This window comes from Homo sapiens, chromosome 7 (genome assembly GCF_000001405.40).
Source record: "Homo sapiens chromosome 7, GRCh38.p14 Primary Assembly".
Taxonomy (NCBI): domain Eukaryota; kingdom Metazoa; phylum Chordata; class Mammalia; order Primates; family Hominidae; genus Homo; species Homo sapiens.
Window position 1 is genome coordinate 143,585,380 of NC_000007.14, and position 24,378 is coordinate 143,609,757.

The 24,378-nt window shown below is 39.3% G+C and overlaps 1 long non-coding RNA gene and 1 pseudogene across 1 annotated transcript in view, besides 1 other annotated feature; one reads left to right on the plus strand and one right to left on the minus strand.

Annotated features, from left to right (window-relative positions):
* Positions 1-3,390: 3,390 nt before the first annotated feature.
* LOC101928466 (uncharacterized) overlaps positions 3,391-24,378 on the minus strand; it is a 32,145-nt gene continuing 11,157 nt past the window's right edge. Inside the window, exon 4 of the long non-coding RNA XR_007060573.1 lies at positions 3,391-3,801. This is a non-coding gene — a long non-coding RNA (uncharacterized LOC101928466). The remainder of the gene's footprint in view (positions 3,802-24,378) is intronic.
* TCAF1P1 (TRPM8 channel associated factor 1 pseudogene 1) lies at positions 12,659-23,800 on the plus strand (annotated as a pseudogene).
* Positions 17,567-18,066: an enhancer, noted in NCBI's record as "H3K4me1 hESC enhancer chr7:143300039-143300538 (GRCh37/hg19 assembly coordinates)". NCBI's record gives its function as "activates a minimal SCP1, AML or CMV promoter by ChIP-STARR-seq in naive H9 embryonic stem cells {active_cell/tissue: H9 hESC(naive)}" and the evidence as "EXISTENCE:reporter gene assay evidence [ECO:0000049][PMID:30033119]".

Genomic DNA, 24,378 nt, shown 5'->3' on the forward strand with positions numbered 1-24,378 from the left:
ATCCGAAGGTCCCAACATCAAAGACCAAAGGTAAATAAATCCACGAAGATGGGGAGAAACTAGCACAAAAAGGCTGAAAATTCCAAAAACCAGAAGGCCTGTTCTCCTCCAAAGGATCACAACTCCTCACCAGCAAGGGAACAAAACTCAATGGAGAATGAGTTTGATGAATTGAGAGAAGTAGGCTTCAGAAGGTGGGTAGTAACAAACTCCTCTGAGATAAAGGATCATGTTCCAACACAATGCAAGGAAGCTAAGAACCTTGAAAAAAGGCTAGATGAATTGCTAACTAGAATAATCAGTTTGAGAAGAACATAAATGACCTGATGGAGCTGAAAAACACAGCACGAGAACTTCGTGAAGCATACACAAGTATCAGTAGCTGAATCGATCAAGTGGAAGAAAGGATATCAGAGATTGAAGATCAACTTAATGAGATAAAGGCAGAAGACAAGATTAGAGAAAAATGAATGAAAAGGAATGGACAAAGCATCCAAGAAATATGGGACTATGTGAAAAGACCAAATCTACGTTTGATTGGTTTACCTGAGAGTGACACAAAGAATGGAACCAAGTTGGAAAACACTCTTCAGGATATTATCCAGGAGAACTTCCCTAACGTAGCAAGACAGGCCAACATTCAAATTTAGGAAATACAGAGAACACCACAAAGATACTCTTTGAGAAGAGCAACCCCAAGACACAGAATTGTCAGATTCACCAAGGTTGAAATGAAGGAAAAAATGTTAAGGGCAGACAGAGAGAAACGTCAGGTTACCTACAAAGGGAAACCCATCAGACTAACAGTGGATCTCTTGGCAGAAACTCTACAAGCCAGAAGAGAGTGAGGGCCAATATTCAACATTCTTAAAGAAAAGAATTTTCAGCCCAGAATTTCATATGCAGCCAAACTAAGCTTCATACATCAAGGAGAAGTAAAATCCTTTACAGAGAAGCAAATGCTGAGAGATTTTGTCAGCACCAGGCCTGCCTTATAAGAGTTTCAGAAGGAAGCACTAAACATGGAAAGGAACAACCAGTACCAGCCACTGCAAAAACATACCAAATTGTAAAGACCACCAACACTATGAAGAAACTGCATCAACTAGCAGGCAAAATAACCAGCTAACATCATAATGACTTGATCAAATTCATACATAACAATATTAACCTTAAATGTAAATGAGCTAAATACCTCAATTAAAAGACACAGACTGACAAATTGGATAGAGTCAAGACCCAGTGGTATGCTGTATTCAGGAGACCCATCTCACTTGCAAAGACACACATAGGCTCAAAATAAAGGGATGGAGGAAGCTACCCAGAAAAAAGGAAAGCAAAAAAGAAGCAGGGATTGCAATCCTAGTCTCTGATAAAACAGACTGTAAACCAACAAAGGTCAAAAGAACCAAAGATGGGCATTACATAATGGTAAAAAGATCAATGCAACAAGAAGAGCCAACTATCCTAAATATACATACACCAATACAGGAGCACCCAGATTCATAAAGCAAGTTCTCAGACACCTACAAAGAGACTTAGACACCCACACAATAATAGTGGGAGACTTTAACACCCTACTGTGGATATTAAACAGATCAACAAGACAGAAAATTAACAAGGATATTCAGGACTTGAACTCAGCTCTGGACCAAATAGACATCTACAGAACTGTCTACCCCAAATCAACAGAATATATATTCTTCTCAGCACCACATTGCACTTATTCTAAAATTGACCACATAATTGGAAGTAAAACACTAGCATGTCCTTTCAATTCTCTTTTTCTCTCTAAAGGAAAGTGGTGGCATAGAAGCTCCTACTGTCCCTTGTAGGACATTTTTCAGTCTACAGTGATCTCTGTATGTTCACAAAGTCATCAGAGATGCATAGAAAAGAACGCCGTACAAATGGTCATACTCTAAATGCCCAAATGCTCCCATAAATTTGGTTTGAAAATACCCTCACGAAACCTGAATTGACCAGCCTTATAAATTGATGCTATCCATGCCCCCTTCAGTTTGAAAAATGGTGAAGGGATATTAGACACAAAAGAGACTTGGTTGTAAGTTTATTTATAATAAGGATCTTGCACATCCTTGGAGGTCGTTGCTGGTTATTGCTGGTTATATGTTAGGCATATATAGAATCCTAATTATAGGTTTTAGGTCAGAATCAATGCCCAGGCATGGTGGGGTGAATGTATTTACCTAACTCCTGCTTTGTACTTCTTACTATATGCTTAGCCATATATACTAAAATTGTTTTAACTGATTTTCACAAAATAGAACTTTTTAGAGAGTGAGTACAAGTGGCAAAATATGCTGTTTTATAAGAGAGATTGCCAAATCACAATTGTTTTCTTTTCCTTTTAATGAACATTTTTCCTTTTTAATTTTAAAATATGTGCTTCTTGGGAAAAAAGTAAAATAATTCAGAAGCATACAAAGTAAAAAGTGAAAGATCTTTGTCCTCCACCTCATCCTCTGCCTCTCGCTAATTCTTTTCTTCCCCCCTTCCAAAGAAATGATCACTGCTAATGGTTTGGATGGTATCTTGTCTGATGTTTTTCCTACATTTATGTATTGGGGTTAGAGTTGGGAGAGCTGGACTGGTAGAAAGAGACACAGAGAAAAAGAGAGAGATCTGCAACTTGCTCTTTCACTGACTATATCCTGAGCGTTTTTTTCATATCCCTGTAAAAAGATGGGCATCATCCTTTTGAAGAGCATCTTGCATTCAGTTGGATTGTCCTGAAATTCATTTAACCATTTGCCTATTAGCACATTAATGTTATTTCTATTTTTTCTTATAAATAATAATACAATGACTATCTTTTCGCTACCACCCCTAAGCTTGACATACACCTCTTCATTTTAAAGACTTGGTAATTTCCTTTTAGAAACATCTTATTTTGGAAATTTTCAAACACGTAACAGAAATAGAAATAGAACAATGAGCACATGTACTCATCACCCAGGTAATGGTATCAAATCACACCCCACCCACTCCTTAACCTTTCCCGTTTGTTTTGAAGCCAATCTCCAACAGTGTGTCATTTCACCCATAAAATAGTATATCTCCAAAAGATAAAGACAAAATTTTAAATGTAGTCACAATACTGTTATCCCATTTTTAAAATTATCACTATTTTTCTGTCCTAACAAAATGTCAAAAACCATATCATTTTCAAGAGGATTCCATAAGTGTCATCTGTTATGTACCTATATCTGTACTTACCCTTTAGATCAACTGATTATATAATCAGTTAAGTCATGGAAATATAAATAATATATTTATATTATATATTGGTCTAAAGGATAAGTATAGAGATGTATATCACAATTGTTTCATACTCTCAGTGTGATTTTAGAATTGAATTTGGCTTTTGCTTTATATATTTCAAAGCTATATTTTAGGTTTATAAAAACTCATGACTTTTTTATGGCTCATACATTTTTGTCATCTAAAATATTATTTCTTGCATTTAGTATTTTTCACCTTTATTTTGTCTAATATTAATTCTGACTCCTACTTTGTTTTACTTGTTGATCTTTTTATTCTTTCTTTTGCTTTTAAAGATACATCTCTTAGTACAAATCTGATTTTTTAACCCAATTGAGGGTTAAAAATTTATATAATTAAGGACATTGATGTTTTTATATAATTAAGGACATTGGTGTTTTTCTTCTAGTTCCATCATCTTATTTGATGTTCTTTGTTAAACAGTCTCGTTGCTTCTTTTCAAATTTTCCTTTGCTGCCTTTAGCTTGATTGATGGAGTTTCTTTTCCCCTTCTCTCTGTTTAGAAGTTATACACAATTTTTGTATCATTATTATAGCTACCTTTAATTTTTCCCAGCTCTTTCTTTCAAATTTTTCACACTTAAGGAAAAGTTGTCAGAATAACATAATAATCACCGCACCCTTTACCTAGATTCACCAGTGGTTACATTTTGCCACATATGCTGCATAAGTATACATACGAAGAGATTATTTGGCCTAGCCATTTGAGAGTAACCTACAGATCTCAAGAATGAAGGAGGCAGGTGATGGATATGACACTTCATACCTGAATACTTCAGCCTGTATCTCCTAACAAGGACATTTTCCCATATAACCACAATACAGTTATCTCACTCAAAACATGTAACATTGATAGAATGTTGTTATCTAATGTCCATGTTCAAACATCTCTAATTGTTCAAAAAAATCCCTTTTTTAGATTTTTTAAGATATAGGATCTAATCAAGTTTCCATATCATATTTCTTTAGTCTCCTTTAATCAAAATAGTTCCCTAGCTTTTTTTTAAATCTTTCAGGACATTAGTATTTTTGAAGTATGCAGTCCCGTTGTTTTATGGAATGCCCTTCAGTTTGGCTTTGTCTAATTGTTTTTTTTTTCATGATTACACTCAGTTCACACATTTTTGGCAAGAAAATAATTTATGTTGTTTTCATCACAGTGTCACAAATTAAAGGTGCATGAGGTCAGTTTGTCCAATTACTGGTGATGTTAAAATTGGTCATTTAATTAAACTGGAGTTTGCCAGATTTTCCTATTTTACTGATTTTATTTATTATATTTTATTTCTACTTATTTTATTCCTTTCCCCCTTTTTTAAAACTAATTTAGTGTGTGACAATTTGAGATCTGTATGAATATCCTGTTTGCCAACAACCTTTCACCCAGTGGTTTTAGCTTTCATTGGTGATCTGTGCCTGAGTAAATATTTATGAAAGTGGCTACTTCTACCACTTCAGCCACTTCTGAACCTTTCTTCAAAATTCATCTCAGGTATCACATCTTTAGAAAGCTGTCCCTTACTCCTCTCCTCTCATTCTGATATAGATGAGTCTTTTGTGCTCCCATACTAACCTAACATCTTAGCACTTACCTCAGGCTAAGTGTTGGTTTACTTGTAGATTTCTATAAGAACTGATTGACATCCTTTGGTAAATAAGACCTTCGCTTCCCCACCTTCACATTTACTGTTAGGGTTGTTCTTCTTTTTAAACGTTTGTTTTAGTATCACCCTATACTCATGGATCCTTTTCTTTTAAGATCGAATACATTACAATCCATTTATAGTCAGTATTTTTTGAAGGCTAAGTTGTCCCAAATTTGGCAAGTTAAAGCCTCGTTAAGCTGTCTCCTGAGCCCATCAGTTTTTTTTTTAGTATTTACTTAGTTTCTGACATAAAAAGATGTTGCAAGGTTACCTTGTACTTTTCTGGTTCAAAACCTGGATTCAGCCATTTCCTCAAGGAATGCTAGTTCCTTTTAGTGGTGAACGGTATTTAGAAACCAAGATCTAAAGCATGCTCAGTGCTATGGTGTCATCATTTCTGGGTTCTGAGAGAGCCATATCTTTTAATCATACATTCACACTGATACCCCCAATTTTACTTCAAAACCACAGGATTCTTCTTCTCTTTCACTCATTCCATATTAGTATTTTTCTTCTGCCATAGTGAGAATCCTGGTTTCAACAGCTTCAACATTTACCTATTTGCTCAGTCCAATAATACACACAAACGAGTTTCATGATTCCTATACCCATACTATTGCCAATAACAAACTTGATAAGTTATTTTTGCCTTCTGAATACACCACACTGAGCATATAGAGTCCAGCAAGTACTATATTCAAAAGTATTCAAATTGCTTTTTACATTTGGGCCTGTTTTTATTCCATGTGGGGTTTTCTCCATATTTGTTTATTTAATTTTATTTTATGAATGCTAACAGCATGGCTACAATAGCAGAATACACATTCTTTTATGTGCACATGAGATAGTCATGAAGATAGACCGTGAAGATAGACCATCTGCTGTGCTATAAAATCAGCCTTAGCAAGAGTAAAAGAATTGAAATCATACCATATATGTCCTCATCACAGTGGAATTAAATTAGAATTCAATAACATATCTGAAAAATTCCTAAATATTTGTAAATTTAAAAATGTTTCTAAATACTCCTTAAGTCAAAGCAGAAATTACAAAGGAAATTAGAATATATTTAGAACTGAATAAAAATGAAAGCATAACATGTCAAAAATTGTGCAATTCTATTAAAACAGTGCTAAGAAAGATATGCCTTTAAATACTTTTATTAGGAAAGAAGAAAATTTGAAACTCAGTGAACTATGTTTCCATATTAAGAATCTAAAAAAGGAAATTGAATTAAACCCAAAATCTGTAGAAGAAACGAGGAAATAATAGAGCAGAAATCTGTGAAACAACTTTAAAAAAAAAAGTAAACAGTAAAACCAAAAGCTGATTAGTTGAAAAAAAATCATTAAAAGTGATTAACCTCTAGATAAGCTATGAAAATAGGAGAGATAACACAAATTATGGATTTCAGGAATAGAAGAAGGAATATTAGTACAGATCCTACAGACATTAAAAGGATAGTAAGGGAATATTACAACTTTATGCCAATAAATTTGACAATTTAGATGAGATAGATAAATTTCCTGACAGCCAAAAATTACCAAAATGGATACAAAAAGAAACATGAAATATATGCTAAATAAATTGAATTGTAATTTTAAACATTCCAACACTAAATGCAATGTGGTATCCTGGATTGGATCCTAAAAGACATTGGTGTGAAGAGTGATGATATTTATATAAAATCTGGAGTTTAGTTAGTAGTGTTTGATCACTGTTGACTTCTTAGTTTTGACAAATGTATAATGGATGTTTTACTATATTGCAAGTTTTCGATTTTCTTACATTTTAAAATAGAAATTGTATTTAAAATCAACAACGCAAAGAAAATTCCAGGCCCAGACAGCTTCATTGATGAATTTTATCAAACATTCAAGGAACAAATAATACAAATCCTACATAAACTCTTTTTAAAAATAGAAAAGGAAGATTTTCCAACTTGATTTATTAAAACAGCATTTCTCTAATACTGAAACCAGAAAAGGACATCGTAAGAAAACTACAAAACAATATCCTTCATGAATATAGATGAAAAATTATTAATAAAATATTAATAGAATACGGAAATATATAAAAAGAAGAATACTTCATGACCAAGTAAGGCTATCCTAGGATGAATGACTGGTCTAACATTCAGTAATCAGATTAACTCACCATATTAATAGAATGAATGAGAAAAACCATGTAATTCAAGGCTGGGCATGGTGGCTCATGCCTGTGATCCCAGCACTTTGGGAGGCCAAGGTGAGTGGATCATTTGAGATCAGGAGTTTGATTTGAGACCAGCCTGACCACCATAGTGAAATGCTATCTCTATTAAAATACAAAAGTTAGCTGGGCATGGTGTTGTGTGCCTGTAGTCCGAGCTACTGGGGAGGCTGAGGCATGAGAATCATTTGAACCTGGGAGGCAGAGGTTGCAGTGAGCTGAGACCGTGCCTCTGTACTCAGCCTGGGCAACAGAGTGAGACTGTCTCAAAAAAAAAAAAAAAAAAACCAAAAGAAAAATAAAAACCATATAATTCAATAATACACATACAAAATATTGACCAAATTCAATACCAAATCATACCAAATTATGATAAAATTTCAGCAAATGAGAAATAAAAAGGAACTGCTTCAACCTGATAAAAATGTCTACGAAAAATATATAGTTAAAAATATTCTTAAAGGTGAATACTGAACATTTTCCCCTAAGACTGAGAACATGACAAGGAATAATACCTGCTCTCACCTCTTCTATTCAACATTGTGCTACAGGTCCTACCCAGTGTAATAAGGCAAGGAAAATAAGGCATAGAGATTGGAAATTTAAAAAAATATATATATATGTGTTTTGTTTTTCTAGAACACTGAGCCAAAAGACAGGAAATGTTTGAATCTTGGTGTTGGAAAACAAATTTAAAAGAAAAAAGTATTTTACACATTTAGAAGATTTTTAAATGACAAGATCCATTTAAACATAAAGTTAGAGCATTTCCTAGAATGGAATTATTTTATTTTTAGAAGTATTTGCAAAAAGCATGATCATCTATGTAAAAAAAAATCCTAAAATATCTACAGTAAAGCTATAATAATTAATTTTAACAAGGTTGTAAGATACAAAATTCAATTTACAAAAACCAATTACTTTTTTAATATATTAGCAACCAGCAATTGGTAATTACAATTTTAAAATACAACATTTAAAATAGAACCCAAATTATGAAGTAGTAAGTGTTAAATTTAACAAAATATGTCATGAGACCTGTATGGTGAAAACTACAAAACATCTCTGAGAGAAATTAAATAAAACCTAAAGAAATGGAGAAATATACCATGTTGATGGATCAGAACACTTGATATTTTAAGATGTCAGTTTCCCCATTAACCTACAGATTTAATGCAGTCCATAGTTCAAACCGATTCTAAAAATATACAAATGAAATGGAACTAACATAGGCTAGTTTTAAGACTTTTTACAGAAATGAAGTAGTCAAAACACTTTGATATTGGCATAAAGATAGACATGCAGATCAATGAAACAGACCAGATAGTTTAGAGATAGACCCACAAATTTATGGTAAATTGTTTTTTGACAGAGTTGCTCAGGTAATTCTATGAGGAAATTACAGTCTTTCCAACATATGGTTCTGGAACAACTGGATACCCTTATGGAAAAAAGGTGAATTGTGACCCTCACCCTACTCCATAAAAGCAAATATTTAAAAATAGATCTAGACCTAAATGCAAAAGCTAAATTTTAAAAACTTCTAAATGAAAGCATAGGAGAAAATATCTGTGACCTTGACCTTTGCAATTTTTGCCTACATAGGACACAAAAAGTACATGAACCATAAAAGGAAAAGATTAATAAATTGAGCTTTATTTTTAAAAAGTAAATAGCTCTGCAGTTCAATAGACAGTATTAAGGAAACAAAAAGGCAAGCCATAGACTGGAAAAAAAAATATTTGCAATACTTATATCTGACAATGGACTTGCATTCAGAATACATGGAGAACTCTTATATTCCAATAATAAGACCACCTATGTTTCTTTGTTTTTGTTTTGTTTTTTGAGACAGGGTCTCCCTTTCTGTCTCAGGCTGAAGTACAGTGGCACGAACATGGCACTCAAGCAATCCTTCCTCCTCAGCCTCCTGAGTAGCCAGGACTACAGGTGCACGCCACCACACCTGGCCATTTTTAAAATTTTTTGTAGAGATGGAGTCTTGCCATGTTGCCCAGGCTGTTCTCAGACTCCTGGGCTCAAGCAGTCCTGCCTTGGCCTCCCGAAGTGCTGGGATTATAGGCATGAGATACCACACCCTGCAAGTTTTTTTTTTTTAAGCCAAAATAGTTTAACACACTTCACAAAAGATAAAATATAAAAGGCCAAAAAGCCCAAATGATTCTCACTATCATTAGTCATCAGAGAAATGCAAAAAACTAAAATCACAATGAAATGCCCTATGGCCCCATAAAAATGGCTAAAATTAAAGACTCGCTATATGAATTGCTGACAAGAATGTGGTTTTATACATTGCCAGTGGGAATATAAAATGACACAACCACTTTGGAAGACGGTTTGGCAATTTCTTATAAAGTTAACTGACAATTAACATACAATTTTGCCATTTCATCACCCTTTATCCAAGAGAAAGGAAAACATGTCCACACAAAAACTTGTACATTAATGTTTAGGGCAGCAAGCCCAAACCAAAGACTACCCAAATGTCCATCAACAGATGACAGGATAAACAAAGTGTAGCCTATCTCCAGAATGGCATAATACACAGCTGTAGAAGACGATGCATTACGGATAGATGCCACAGTATGGATGGTTCTCACAAAGTTATTCTGAGTGAAAGAAGCCAAGCTCAAAGGAGTACATACTTTATGATTACATTATATGAAGCTTTAGAAAAGACAAATGTTTATGGATAGAAAGCACATCAGTAGTTGCCTGCGGTTGTGTGTGGGACAGTCTCAGCTCACTGCCAGCTCCACCTCCCAGGTTCATGCCATTCTGCTGCCTCAGCCTCCCGAGTAGCTGGGACTACAGGCGCCCACCACCACGCCTGGCTAATTTTTTGTATTTTTAGTAGATGGGGTTTCACAGTGTCAGCCAGGATGGTCTCGATCTCCTGACCTCGTGATCCGCCCACCTTGGCCTCCCAAAGTGCTGGGATTACAGGCGTGAGCCACCACGCCCAGCCTAATCAATAATCTTTTAGAGTAGCCTGTCCCATTTTTTCACGAGAGAGGTAATATATCTTCTTAGAACTTTCTGATGATATGCAATACCTACTTAGAACGTTCTTCTCCATTTGTTGCTATTGTTCCCTTGGGAGTTTAGTTGGGTGCTTCTCTTTCATGCTGTTAATTTTCGTCAGATATTTGGTGGTTCTTGTCTATTTAAATTTTAAATTACATTTAAATCCTAGGTTGATCATTATTGGTTACTGCAGAGCATTTTCTTGGGACAAATGATAATCTTTGGTCCTTTGTTCCCCTGATCTTCTCTTTCACATGTACGCAGTTAGATTCTTCTGTTCTCATGGCTTTCCAATCAATCAGATACCATTTGATTTATATTTTTTATAAATGTCCCCACTATCTCAGTTTGTTGATGGCACCCTTCTCAAAATCCAATGCTATTATGGATTTACTGAGTTTCACTCTGTCGCCCAGGCTAGAGTGCATTGGCATGATCTCAGCTCACTGCAACCTCTGCCTCCCAGGTTCAAGCAATTCTCCTGCCTCAGCCTCCTGAATAGCTGGGATTATAGGCACCCGCCATCATGCCCCGCTAATTTTTGTATTTTTGTAGAGACAGGGTTTCACCAGGATTTATTTTTTTAAGTAACTTTTGTTTCACTTCAGAAGAGGGTAAGGAAGAGAAGTAAAATCCAACTCATTTTTTCAACACATGAAAGAATTACTTAGCCCCTACTGTATATAAATCGTGGCTGTTGGAACTAATAGACAGATGCCTCCGAGGGTGCCCCCTGGCTAAGCACTGAGCAAGACCTCATGTAGTCTCATTGTTCAGATGAAGTTCTAATAACTCAGTGTCTGAATCTCAGCTTTGTAGGTTTAATTTCTCTCATCAGTAGGCTCATGTAGAAATCCTGAAGCTGATGTATTCACTTAGAGCACAGTAGCCCACCTCTTCACTGATTTTACTCTTAAAAAAAAATAATTGCATGAACTTCGTAAACAAGGCCAGGTGCCATGGCCTATAATCCCAGCACTTTGGGAGGCCGAGGCAGGAGGATTGCTTGAGCCCAGGAGTTCAAGACCAACCTGAGCAACATAGTGAGACCCCCCCCCTTCTCCATTAAATTAAAAAATCAAAAATAAAAGAGAAAAAAATTATAAACAGAACTCTAATTATAAGAACTAAAACACATTTTTCATTAAATTTTGTATACATGTTTAAAGGACTACAACTGAAAATGAATTTTAAAAAATTTTAAGAGTCACCAAATTAAATACAGACTATCCAAAATGTTGCTTGAATAAAATAAATAAATGTTACAAATCTAGAATATTCTGGTTGGCCTAGCCAGTGACTTCTTTCTCTCATTAGGCAGGTGATCATGGAAAGCAGTATTACAATCACAGAGTTGTTTGGTAAGCCTCGAATCAGAGCAAGAAGAGATAGTTGAATGATGTTAATGATAGTTCTTTACCGAGTTAGAGAGTCATCCACCAATTAGTATGGTGGTAGCTTTATCTTTAGTAAAGGTTCATACTTGCTAAGAGGACCATAGCTTTCCCATCAGTAGAGCTCTGCCAGCCATAGAGAGTACAGCACGAACACTGCAAATTTGTTGTCTACCTGACCCCCATTTTTTGGTGTTATCTTACAGCTGCATCCTACTATACTATAGTAGCTGCATCCTACTATACTTTACCTAACAAAAGTGACAGAACCAACTCTGGAATCTCAAGCTCAGAGAGGCCACTCTATTCCTTAACTCCACCTTATCCAGTGTTCCATCTCATTTTGGATTTATGGGCATCTTGAGGGCTTCTAGGGCTGGATTACCCACAGACAGTAAACAGATGGTGCTGAGCAAAACCTTACAGCATGGATGTGCATCACTCCTGTTGGGCAGGCAGTGAAAAAGTGGAGTTCTAGATGCAGACAGTAAAGTCCTCTTGGGCTCAGGTAACCAGAGGGTCTCACTAGAGTTGAGGCCAGTCAGTTCCCCTACCCCACCTTTTGAGATAATAATGATTCTTCACTAGCACTACTGACTTGTCCTTCCACAGACTTTATTTGTAGGAAATTAGCTGCAATTTCCTGCAATTTATAAATAAGACTCCTTATAAGGAAAAAAAAACATGATTTCCCATTTTTTTATATGTATTGTTTAGAGGGTTGAAATAACCATGAACTAAAATCTGGAGTATTTAAGACATGGTACTGGATAAACACAGCAGGGCTCCCTTTGCAATTTCCATTGGAGAATTTGTGCTCTAAGAATGAGCAGAGCAGAATTAATGCTGAGTCCCTCTGCCACCCCTCCAACAAGTCTCCATACCCAGTGAGGTCAGAGCTGTCCATTTTGTTCTCCCAACTTTCCCCTAAGAACTAAAAATAACAATATTAGCAAAGCTAACACATCTATAGCGCTCACTGTATGCCATCCACTGTTCTAACAGCTTTATATAGAACTGTACCTCTAATAAAGAATGCATGTGTCTTTTGCAGTTGTGAAGATGACCTCTCCGACGACAGAGAAGAGCTTCTGCATGGGATTTCAGAGCTGGACATCAGCAACTCGGATTGTTTCCCATCCCAGCTGCTAGTGCATGGGGCTTTAGCCTTTCCTCTAGGGTTAGATTCCTACCATGGCTGTGTTATAGCGGCTGCCCGCTATGGCCGGGGCCGGGTGGTTGTGACTGGCCATAAGGTATTATTCACTGTTGGTAAACTGGGCCCCTTTCTGCTCAATGCTGTCCGCTGGCTGGATGGGGGCCGCAGAGGCAAGATTGTGGTGCAGACAGAGCTGAGAACCCTGAGTGGCCTCCTCGCAGTGGGGGGCATAGACACCAGCATCGAGCCCAATCTGACCAGTGATGCAAGTGTCTACTGCTTTGAACCCGTGAGTGAAGTGGGGGTCAAGGAACTGCAGGAGTTTGTAGCAGAGGGTGGCGGGCTATTTGTTGGAGCCCAAGCCTGGTGGTGGGCCTTCAAGAACCCCGGAGTGTCCCCTTTGGCTCGATTCCCAGGAAACCTCCTCCTCAACCCCTTTGGCATCAGCATTACAAGCCAAAGCCTCAATCCAGGGCCCTTTCGTACTCCTAAAGCAGGGATAAGGACCTATCACTTCCGCTCCACCTTGGCCGAGTTCCAGGTTATAATGGGCAGGAAGAGAGGAAATGTGGAAAAGGGCTGGTTGGCAAAGCTGGGACCAGATGGTGCAGCTTTCCTGCAGATTCCCGCAGAAGAGATCCCTGCCTACATGTCTGTGCATCGACTCCTGAGGAAGCTGCTAAGTCGATATCGGCTTCCAGTAGCAACCCGAGAGAACCCTGTTATCAATGACTGCTGCAGAGGTGCTATGCTTTCCCTGGCCACAGGGCTGGCCCACTCTGGAAGCGACCTCTCTCTGTTAGTCCCAGAAATTGAAGATATGTACAGCAGCCCCTATCTGCGCCCCTCAGAATCTCCTATCACCGTCGAGGTCAACTGCACCAATCCAGGTAAGGAACAAGGGTTGGAAGCTCAGTATTATGGGAATGGGGGAATGGGGACAGGCTGACATCAGCAGTCCATTTCAGGGACCCGATCATGTCCAGAAGGTGGTCTCCATTTTTTACCATGAACTTTGAAGAAGATAAGGGTTGGGATTTTAAGTACTGTTTGGAAGAGTTGAGTCAAGGCAGCATGTAGGGGAAGATACGTGCTTACGAAGGGTCTCTGGTGATGCTGGGTGGAGGTGGCATCATGGAGGAGGGATAAAGTCTGCCTACCCCTCCTGCTTTTGGCAGGCACCAGATATTGCTGGATGAGTACTGGGCTCTACATACCTGGAAGGCAAATTATAGAAGTCTCACTGCCTGAAGCTGCTGCCTCTGCCGACCTGAAGGTAAGGCCATGCCCCACCTCACCATGTAACATGGAAGCCAAAGGCTCTTCCTAGCACAGTCAGTATCTTATTTGATTCTCACAAAGCCCTGTTGGTAATACAGAGCAGGTGATTTTACCCTTGTTTTAAGGATGAAGTAACTAAGGTGCAGAAAAGCTGATTGATTGATTGATCGATTGAAATGTATAGAGCTAATACAAATAAGTGCCCAGGACTCAAACCTAACTAATTTCTGGCTCTTAAGTTTTGTGCTTTTGACCTACATCCTAGAGTAGGGAATAAGAGGTATCAAATGGAAGGTAACCTAGCACAGAGTAGGCATTCAGTAAATCGGAGTTCACTGTTCATCTCCGTATCCATTCCCATGGTAGCACAAGGTCTTTCTGACTTCAGCTTCTTCCCCATGACATCCAAGACCATTCCTCAATTGCCCAGTTCACCTTCCCTCTGTCACTTTCACATAGAACCCATTTGCAAAGTTAGTTTGCTGTCCTTCCCTATCCCCCTTGGGGGTCACTGTGATGGTTAGCATCTATTCTGTGCCTGTACCTATCCTGGAACTTGATTAGCATAAACCCAGGGAAAAGAATCCTAGGACTCTACCAAGTACCTGCCCAGGAAGAGGGCTTGGAGAAACCCTCCACTATCTTAGCCAGATCACACCACCTCCCACTGGGCCCTCTCTCTGATCAGCAAAAGGCAGGGTTCCCTCTGCCCCATTCCAAATGCCAGAATCACCACCATGAGATAGGCGATCAAGTGTTCTATTTGTTAGCAACACCAGGAGACCGGGTGTGGGAGTCAGCCCTCCTCAGAATTGGCCTTACAGGTTACACCTGGCACTTCTCACATTAATGTCTATCTAACATGACCCATTATGGAGCTGTTTGAATGCTTTGGGAAAATATTTATATATACTTCAGTCCATATGCCCCAAGGAATGCTACAGTTTCTTGGGGTATCACACATGGTTCATCTGTGGTGGGAAGGCTGGGCTCGCTTGGGTTCATGGCTGAATGACCCATCCTGAGTCCCTTGCTGGGCTCTCTTCTTCCACCCACTCGTGCCCCATGGTGACTCCTTGAGGGGGGGATCTTTCTGCTCCAGATACAGATTGGCTGCCACACAGATGACCTGACCAGGGCCAGCAAGCTTTTCCGAGGCCCACTCGTAATTAACCGGTGCTGCTTGGACAAACCCACAAAATCGATCACGTGCCTCTGGGGTGGACTCCTCTATATAATTGTGCCTCAGAACAGCAAACTGGGTTCTGTGCCTGTCACCGTGAAGGGGGCTGTGCATGCTCCATACTACAAGCTGGGTGAGTGGGAGCTCTGGGTGCCCCTGAGGGAAGGGGAAGAACTGAGATGAGGATTCCAGAGAGCATGGGAGTCCAGGAGGTGACTAGAGTCTGTTTGGTGCAGAAGGAGAGAGACACGGGCTAACAGAGGAATAAGGGTCAGCTTCCTTAGATTCAGCTTTGGGGTTGTACAGATAAAGACCAAACCACATCCTTGGAGACTTCATAGAAGGATAGAGAAAAGGGATATAGCCTCAGCAAACTAACACAGGAACAGAAAACCAAACACCACGTGTTCTCACTTGTAAGTGGGAGCTGAACAATAAGAACACATGGACACAGGGAGGGGAACAACACACATTGGGGCCTGTCAGTGGGGTGGGTAGCGGGGGTGGATGGAGGGAGACCATCAGGATAAATAGCTAATGCATGCTGGGCTTAATATCTAGGTGATGGGTTGATGGGTGCAGCAAACCACCATCACACATGTTTACCTATGGAACAAACCTGCACGTCCTGCACATGTATCCCGGAACTTTACATTTTTTAAAAAAGAGGAGGGATATGGCAGTTCATGATTTTGTTGTTCTCTTCCTGGAGTCTAAGTTGTATGTTGTAATTTAAGGGATTTGGGAAAGGATTTCAAGCTCCATGGTCTCTCTTCCTAGGGGAGACCACCCTGGAGGAGTGGAAGAGGCGTATCCAGGAGAATCCAGGGCCCTGGGGAGAGCTGGCCACGGACAACATCATTCTGACCGTGCCGACCGCAAATCTTCGTACTCTGGAGAACCCTGAGCCGCTGCTCCGCCTCTGGGATGAGGTGATGCAGGCTGTGGCGCGACTGGGAGCTGAGCCCTTCCCTTTGCGCCTGCCTCAGAGGATTGTTGCCGACGTGCAGATCTCAGTGGGTGGGTGCTCCAAGCAAACCCTCTGTGCATGCTGCCTCTGAGCGCCTTCCTGTCTTTCATCAGCCATGCAGTGGGCAGCCAGTAGGGGAAACATATTTTGCTAGCAAGACATATAGATGTATCCTTGTTATTTAAATGGGAAGGAAATATATATAATATATATTATATATTATATATATAATATATATTATATATTATATATATAATATACTGTTTTATATACATACTGTTTTATATACATACATATATATACATATATATATATACTGTTTTATATATATACTGTTTTATATACACATATACATATATACATATATATAATATATAATATATATTATATATATAATATATATTATATATTATATATATAATATATAATATATATTATATAATATATATTATATAATATATATTACATTATATATATGTATATATGTATATGTGTATATAAAACAGTTTAGGTCAGCATGTCAAGGACATCAAGAAATGCCACCTGAGCTTTCACAGGTATTCATCAGGGACTTCAAGCCGGTAAAGATGGCAGAGGGCCGTGACCTAGGTCAGAGTTGTTGGGTTGGAAAAGGGAATTTTACAACTTTAAGAACACACTGAATAAAGCGATCTTTGCCTATGGTCAAGGAACATGAAAAGTGAGGGAAATATACAGACATTAAAGAACCATGGGAATTTCTCTGGACCCTCATTTTCTTTCTTATACGGATGTTCACTGTAAACTTGTGTTGATATGGCAACTCCATATCTGAACAATGAGAGAGGAGCTACCCTTAAAGAGCTCTGAATTTTGAGAAAAGGTTATAGTGACACAGATTCACATGGATAAGGCATCCTCATCAAAATAGAAAAATTGAATGGTAACATGAACAGCTCCTTATATATAAGCTGCATCTCCTTCCATAGCCACACTATTCTGGGTCAGAGTAGAGATGAAGGAATTCTTCCAGAATGAAAAGAGGAGAAGGAACACCTAGCAGGGTCTTGGTTTGGGTTGCTTTTCTGAGTATTATGGTGTGCTGGAATTTGGCTGGGGTTACTGAGTGTTTTGGAACACACACAAAACATAGAAGAATATTACGACTTAAATGGGGAGGACCCTAACTCTGTCTTCCCTCCTTCTGCATTTTCCAGGCTGGATGCATGCAGGGTACCCCATCATGTGCCATCTGGAGTCAGTGCAGGAGCTCATCAACGAGAAGCTCATCAGAACCAAGGGGCTGTGGGGCCCCGTCCATGAGCTGGGCCGCAACCAGCAGCGGCAGGAGTGGGAGTTCCCACCACACACCACCGAGGCCACCTGCAACCTGTGGTGTGTGTATGTGCATGAGACGGTCTTGGGCATTCCTCGAAGCCGTGCCAATATTGCTCTGTGGCCCCCAGTTCGGGAGAAGAGAGTCAGAATCTACCTGAGCAAGGGTCCCAATGTGAAAAACTGGAATGCATGGACCGCACTGGAAACGTATTTACAGGTACTGGGCAAGAATGGCGGGTGATGGGGGACCCCTACTGCGGGGACCATCAGGGCAACTATCGGATAATGTTCTAGTGGCCCAGAAGACCACCCATGGCCCCTGTCTCCCACACTGGGATATGGGAGGCCCTGACAAAGTCCAACTGTGACAGTCGTATTGATGATGTCTCTTAGTGCATCGCCTTGCATGACCCTCAGGTGGATTTCATTGCCTGAGCCTCACCTTCCACCCCATAGAGATATATGATAGTAAATAGAAAGCACTGAGAAAGGTTAAAAATGGTAGAGACAAATAAAGTACTATACATATATTCACTCTCTCTGGCTTTAAAGCCAGACATACCTGAGACTGAAGCCAAACTCTCCTACTTAATAGCTATCTAAAACCAGTTCCCCCCAACCATACACATAATCCATAGGATATGACTTATTTTTTTTTTCCTTAGATGAATGTACCATCTTCTCACTATGCCTTGGCCGTGCCTCAGAGCCCCCATTATGTAGGCAATCCAAGAGTCCTCACTGACCTGGACAAGGAGGTGGCCTTGCCTTTGACCAGTTGTTTAATGCCTAGTTCCCTCCCTGCAATGCCTGGATCAGTTCCTGGCATGAAACTGGAGAGTTTCATCACCTTGAATTTCAGAACTCAGTCTCAGGCCAAGCATGCTCTATTCTGGTTCTTCCACCTGCTGGAGGCTCTCTTATTCATTCCCACTGCCGTGAGAATTATGGGAAAACCAAGGAGGCTCCACTTTAACCTTGTTATGGCTGCTTTGCCCCAGGAACACCAAGTTTCTCATTGGTGAAATAAATGTGAAGTTGGTCTGGGGAACTGCTCAAGTGCCTCATAATTCAAGCTCTGTAACTCAACAGCCTCAAGATGGCTGCCTTTTTCAAAAATTACAACTTATTCTTAATTCTAGTTACCCAGACAATCTGCAGTCTTCTACTTCTATCCAACTCACTTTTTTTCCCCAAAAGCCATTTTAATACCCTTGCACATTGACAAAGATCTATGATTAATGAGGATTTCTTTGTGCCAGGATGAGGTGGAAGTTTCCCTATTGTTGAGGTTTCACTTTTCAACTCTTGAGAAGAGGATTTTTCCAATTCTGCCAATTTTAAATCCTTGTGTAATATCCTATCTCTATTTGCGTGATCTAGTGGGATACGTGGGTAATGATACTGGTAGAAAATATTGATATTAATCATTGCAGTTGTTACCATGGCCCTCACTGATTTAGTATCCACTTGGTGTTGAACACTGTGCTGGTCCCAAGGCCCTTCCTAAGATTAGAATGTGGAAGAGCAGGGCATGAGGCCAGGAGGCAAAATGGAGGAGAGCAGGTCGGTGATAGACGTGAAGCCGATGGGTAAGGGGTTACATATACTAAGTTCACTTATTATAGTGGTTGTTGTTGGACCCTTTTTTATTTCCAAATCTGATCTGTATTTTTCTTTCTCTTCCCAGCTCCAGGAAGCCTTTGGTTGGGAGCCATTCATCCGTCTCTTCACCGAGTACAGGAACCAGACCAACTTGCCCACAGAAAATGTTGACAAAATGAATCTGTGGGTCAAGATGTTCTCCCACCAAGTGCAGAAGAACCTGGCTCCGTTCTTTGAGGCCTGGGCCTGGCCCATCCAGAAGGAAGTGGCTACCAGCCTGGCCTATCTGCCTGAATGGAAGGAAAATATTATGAAATTGTACCTCCTCACACAGATGTAAGGAGTGCCCATCGAGGTGGCAGGTAGAGAGGTTTGGGGAGGTAGGCAGAGGTGGGGATTCACTCCTCTACCTCTGCCTCCCAGGGTCTGGCCTTGTCCTCTTAGTTCATTGCCCTATACCTTATTACCGACTTCTGTCTCTAGGAAGTGGGTTCAGAACACAGCCAAAAGTGGAATCAGAATTTCTCAGGTGCAAGGGCTTCTGTTTCTGCATCTTGTTCGTCTGCTTTCAGCTGTCACATTCCCTCCTGACCCTGCACTGGCCCAGTTCCAAGAGCTTTGGCACCTGCTTCTATATCAGCCCTGGATTCACCATCATAGGTCATAGCCCAGAGGGGGTAGTTCTCATGTTGGCATCCTGAAGACTCCCTTTGGGCTTTTGTTTTTGAACAGTTGTTCCAAAAACTTGACCATAAAACTCAACTGGAACACAAATTTACCGTGAGACCCAGATAGCTCTTGGATGGACTCATATATTTTGTGACTTGAGTAGTTTTCAAAGTAGACAAGCATTCTGGTATAGTGGGAAGAGCCCAGAACTAGGTAGGGTTAGCTCTCGGGAAAGTCATTTCAACTTGGTACTCTCATTTCCTGTGTGTAAAATGGGGATAAAAATTCCCAGTTCACAGGGTTGTCGTGGAGGTTCAGAGTGATAAATTCTGAAGAGGCTTGTGAGGTCTGCAGAGCATGTCATCTAAGGGGATTTTCTATTTTATGCTGGTCCACAGGATAATGAGCTTACTACTTTCCATCCTGTCTCCAGAATTTAGAGGTTAGGATAACTCTCTCTACAAGTAGCTTCCCTGTGTTCAAATCCTGGTTCTTTCACCTACGAGTTGTATAACCCTGGCAATTTCCTTAACTTCTCTGTGATTTAGTTTTCTCATCTATAAAATAGGATCTATCTCATAGGATCATTGTGAGGATTACATTTTATAATACCTTTAAAAAGCAATGAGAACCGTCCCTGGCAGGTAGTAGGTGTTGAGAAAATGTCTGCTGCCATTATTATTATCTAATTGACTCAATACTCTTTATGAGCTAGACTTTATTTTTAGATGACATTTACAGAGGCAGTTGTAGTTAATCCTAGCCCATCTTGCACTTTATACAGCAACTTCTGAAAGGATTCTGCTATGTTGCCTTATGAATCTAAAGGAAGAACTCTAAATTCACAATGGGTTTTTTTAAATAGCTAAAAAATTTTGTTTCTTTTTAACTTAGATTTGTAAAGCTATTTATAAGAACCTCATTGTGAATTTGGAGCTCTTCCTTGGATCTCCTTATCCAATTGTATTTTACAGATCCAATTCCTTCTTTGATTAAATCAAGAGTAGATGTCTTGAAGAAACCAGATCAATTCCATAATGACATTTGTCCTTAGCAAACAGAGGGTATCTGGTTTCATGACAGTGTTTTTATTTCTGTAACACAGATTCAAGACATAGTGCCTGTCAAGAGTTACTCAACAGTTTGGCAGACGAAGTCCACACACATAGAGGACTTTACTCTGAAACAAGATGATTGGATAGAGTTGACCCAAACTTATTTCTTTTTAATTTTATTCAGAATCCCCTATTTCTTTACAGTTTTAACTAAAGTTGGGTCCTTTTGGTTGATGTCATATACATCCAGCCAGTTTTTCTTTAGCTCACTTTTTATTTTAGTTATTTTAATATATCATTTTATTTGCTTAATTGGTAATTGGGTAGATATGTAGACTGTAAGATTTGACCTATAGAGTTTTTTCTTTGGATTTTTGTTTGTTTGTTTGAGATAGCGTATCAGTCTTGTCACCCAGGCTGGAGTGCAATGGCACCGTCTCGGCTCATTGCACCCTCTACCTCCCAGGTTCAAGCGATTCTCCTGCCTCAGCATCACAAGTAGCTGGGCTTACAGGTGCCCACCACCACACCCAGCTAATTTTTTGTATTTTTAGTAGAGATGGGGTTTTGCCATGTTGGCCAGGCTGGTCTCGAACTCCTGGCCTAGGTGATCCACCCACCTCGGCCTCCCAGTAGATTTCTTTGTCATGTTATTTGTCGGTCCTAGGATTATTTCTCCTGATTGCACAAATATCCATTGCCTAGGTGCTTTAAACATGAGACATTGGATATTTGTTCAACATTTAAAATAATTGTTATCAATTATTGGGTGTGTACCAGTTATTGTAGTGATTCCTTTCTATAGATTGTTTCATTTAATCTTCACAATAATCTCATGACATGGCAACCATTATCACTCCCATTTTATTTTATGAACGAGAGAACTGAAGTTAAGGAAGATAAGGTAAATTATCTAAGGCTATATTGCTAATAAGTGGTTGATCTGGGATTTGAATTCAGGCATTCTGATTACAGAATGGGCATTCATAACTACAGTGCTTTGAATGACCCCATCAATGGGTAAATAAAGAAGCCGACCAGCAAACCAAAGGATCATTATGTTCCTACTTGCCAGAGCTTTGGCTGCATATACTTACCTATCATCTACTTTTATCAGAACAAAAAATCATTTTGTTTATCCCAAATGACAATTCAAAGAATTTAAGGTAGGCTCCTGAAGTGCTTCCCAATAGATAGTGCTGGAGTGAGCCCTTTAGCATCAGCCAGATCTTTTAGGTTCTGCATTACTCAAATTTCAGTTATTCTTTCTAGGGTACCATGAAAGTGTTCTCTAGTTTGTTGGATTTTGAATGATGGACTATTTCAGTGAAGTGCCTGACTCCCAGAGATCCCAAACACTGCATGTTCTCAGAGAGGAAATTAGATCCTCCATCTTTGAGAATATGTGTATCCATCCTTGCCCTCTTTAATATATTTTTAGCAGTACATCCCGGGGATATATTTAAAATATAAAGTTATCCATGTTACTTCCGTGTCTAAAAGCCTCCACTGGAATTTCTAATTTGAGATAATGGAGTAAACATAAGTTTACCTTCCCTCCCTCCCCAGGCCCCACTGAAATTGAAGTCAAGAAATGCAAAAAGGAACTGACACATCTCAGCAAAGAAAACTGAAGGGATTTGGTTATAAGTGGAGAGGATCTCAGCATATTTCTGGAAGATAGAAAGTGGATGAAGCATGATAATGAAAGAGTGAAGAACCTTTCAGATAAAATGTAAGCTGATCTGAACAACATAACCCCAAAGAGACTTGCGCACCTGAAAAGCTTGTCTACTGAAGAATTACTCCAGTTGTAAGATTGAGCCCTCTCCTACTCTCCCCCAACTCTTATGCACAGAACACAGGCAGTCTCCACTATTGATACCAGTTAAAAATTTCTTGTTATTGTTGCTGTTGTTGTTTGTATAAAGGAATTGAACAGGCTGCTTGCAGAGAGATAAGAGTTGGTGCTCCAGAAAAAAATTTCTCTTCTAGTGGAAATAAGTGCCCCTACCCCCAGCCGGTCAGCTAATTCTCTACTGACAGCTGAGACCTCCTACTCAAGTGCCTGTTGCCTTCAGGTATAGAAGAGGTTTCCTGAAGAAACAGACCTAACTGTACAACAGCAGAGGAAACCCATGCCAACTGTTATACAAGTTAACAGTTATGTTGATTCTTAAATGGGAATGGTGAGTTAGAAATTCCCAGACATGGGCGATGGGGAGGGAAGAGGAATAAGAAAAGTCACGAGGTAGAATTAGGGGCCTTGAAAATATGACAAACTCTGAGGGAAACAAAGACAATGTGGAAAGAATAACTTAATTTTAATTCCATCTCCAGAGAGATTTGAGGTGTATTTAAGATGAAAAACAGGATACTACAAAGAAACGGAAAACTCAGGAGTTCGAGACCAGCCTAGGCAAGATGGCAACATCCCGTCTCTACAAAATAATTTTTAAAAATTAGCCAAGCATGGTGGCATGTGCCTGTGGTCCTAGCTACTTGGGAGGCTGAAGTGGGAAGATCACTTGAGCCCAGGAGTTCAAGGCTTCAGTGGGCCATGATGGTGCCACTGCACTCCAGCCTGGGGGACAGAGTGAGACCCTGTCTCTTAAAAAGCAAGAAAAGAAAGAGAAGACTGAGAATAAGAAGATCTCTTTGAAAATAAAATAAGACTGCTAAAAGTATTTGGTATACAGTCTGGAAAATAAAGTTGAGGGAATCTCTCCAGATAAAGAGCAAAAAGAAATAGATAGAAAAATATAAAGAAAGAAAAAAGACATAGACAATCAATATGTAATGTTAGGAGTTCCTGGAAGAGAGAACAGAGACAGTGTAGGTGAAGAAATAAAAAGAAAAAGAATTGAAGAACAGAGCAAGCTAAGTCTCCAGATTGAGAGGGCCCAATACAATCTACATCTAGACACAATATTGTAAAATTTTGGAATATTAAGGATAGAAGGAAGATATTAAAGTGGCCAGGGAGAAAACAAATGAGGTCATCACGATTAGCTCAACACAAAAATGGATGAGAAATAGACTGCTAACAGATTTGTCATCAGCAACACTGAATGCCAGAAGTCAATGGATCAACATCTTCAGAGCTTATGGAAAATTTTTGTACCTAGAATTTCATAGTAAGGCAGACTGTCAAGAAGAACATCAAAGTGAAGACATTTTCTGTCAGGCAAATTTTCAGAAAGTCTCCCTCCTTTGCACCCTTACTGAGGAAGTATCTTGAGGAAATTCTCCAGCAAAATGAGGATGAAAACCAGGAAAGAAGAAGAAATGGGATCCATAAAACAGTGGACCTTACTTAGGATGTCTCATTCTAGAGTGACAGCCAAAAGGGTATCTCACCCTAGAGTGACAGCTATCCAGCAGACTAATTTCAGATGAGAGCATACTGTCTCGGGCTTTCTGGGAAGAATGTGCATTCAGTGCCATAGATAGTATCATTGAAGAGCTGGGATGCTTGAGAAGATTATTTAGTCAAGAAAAAAGAAAGACAAATCAACAATATGTCAAAAAATT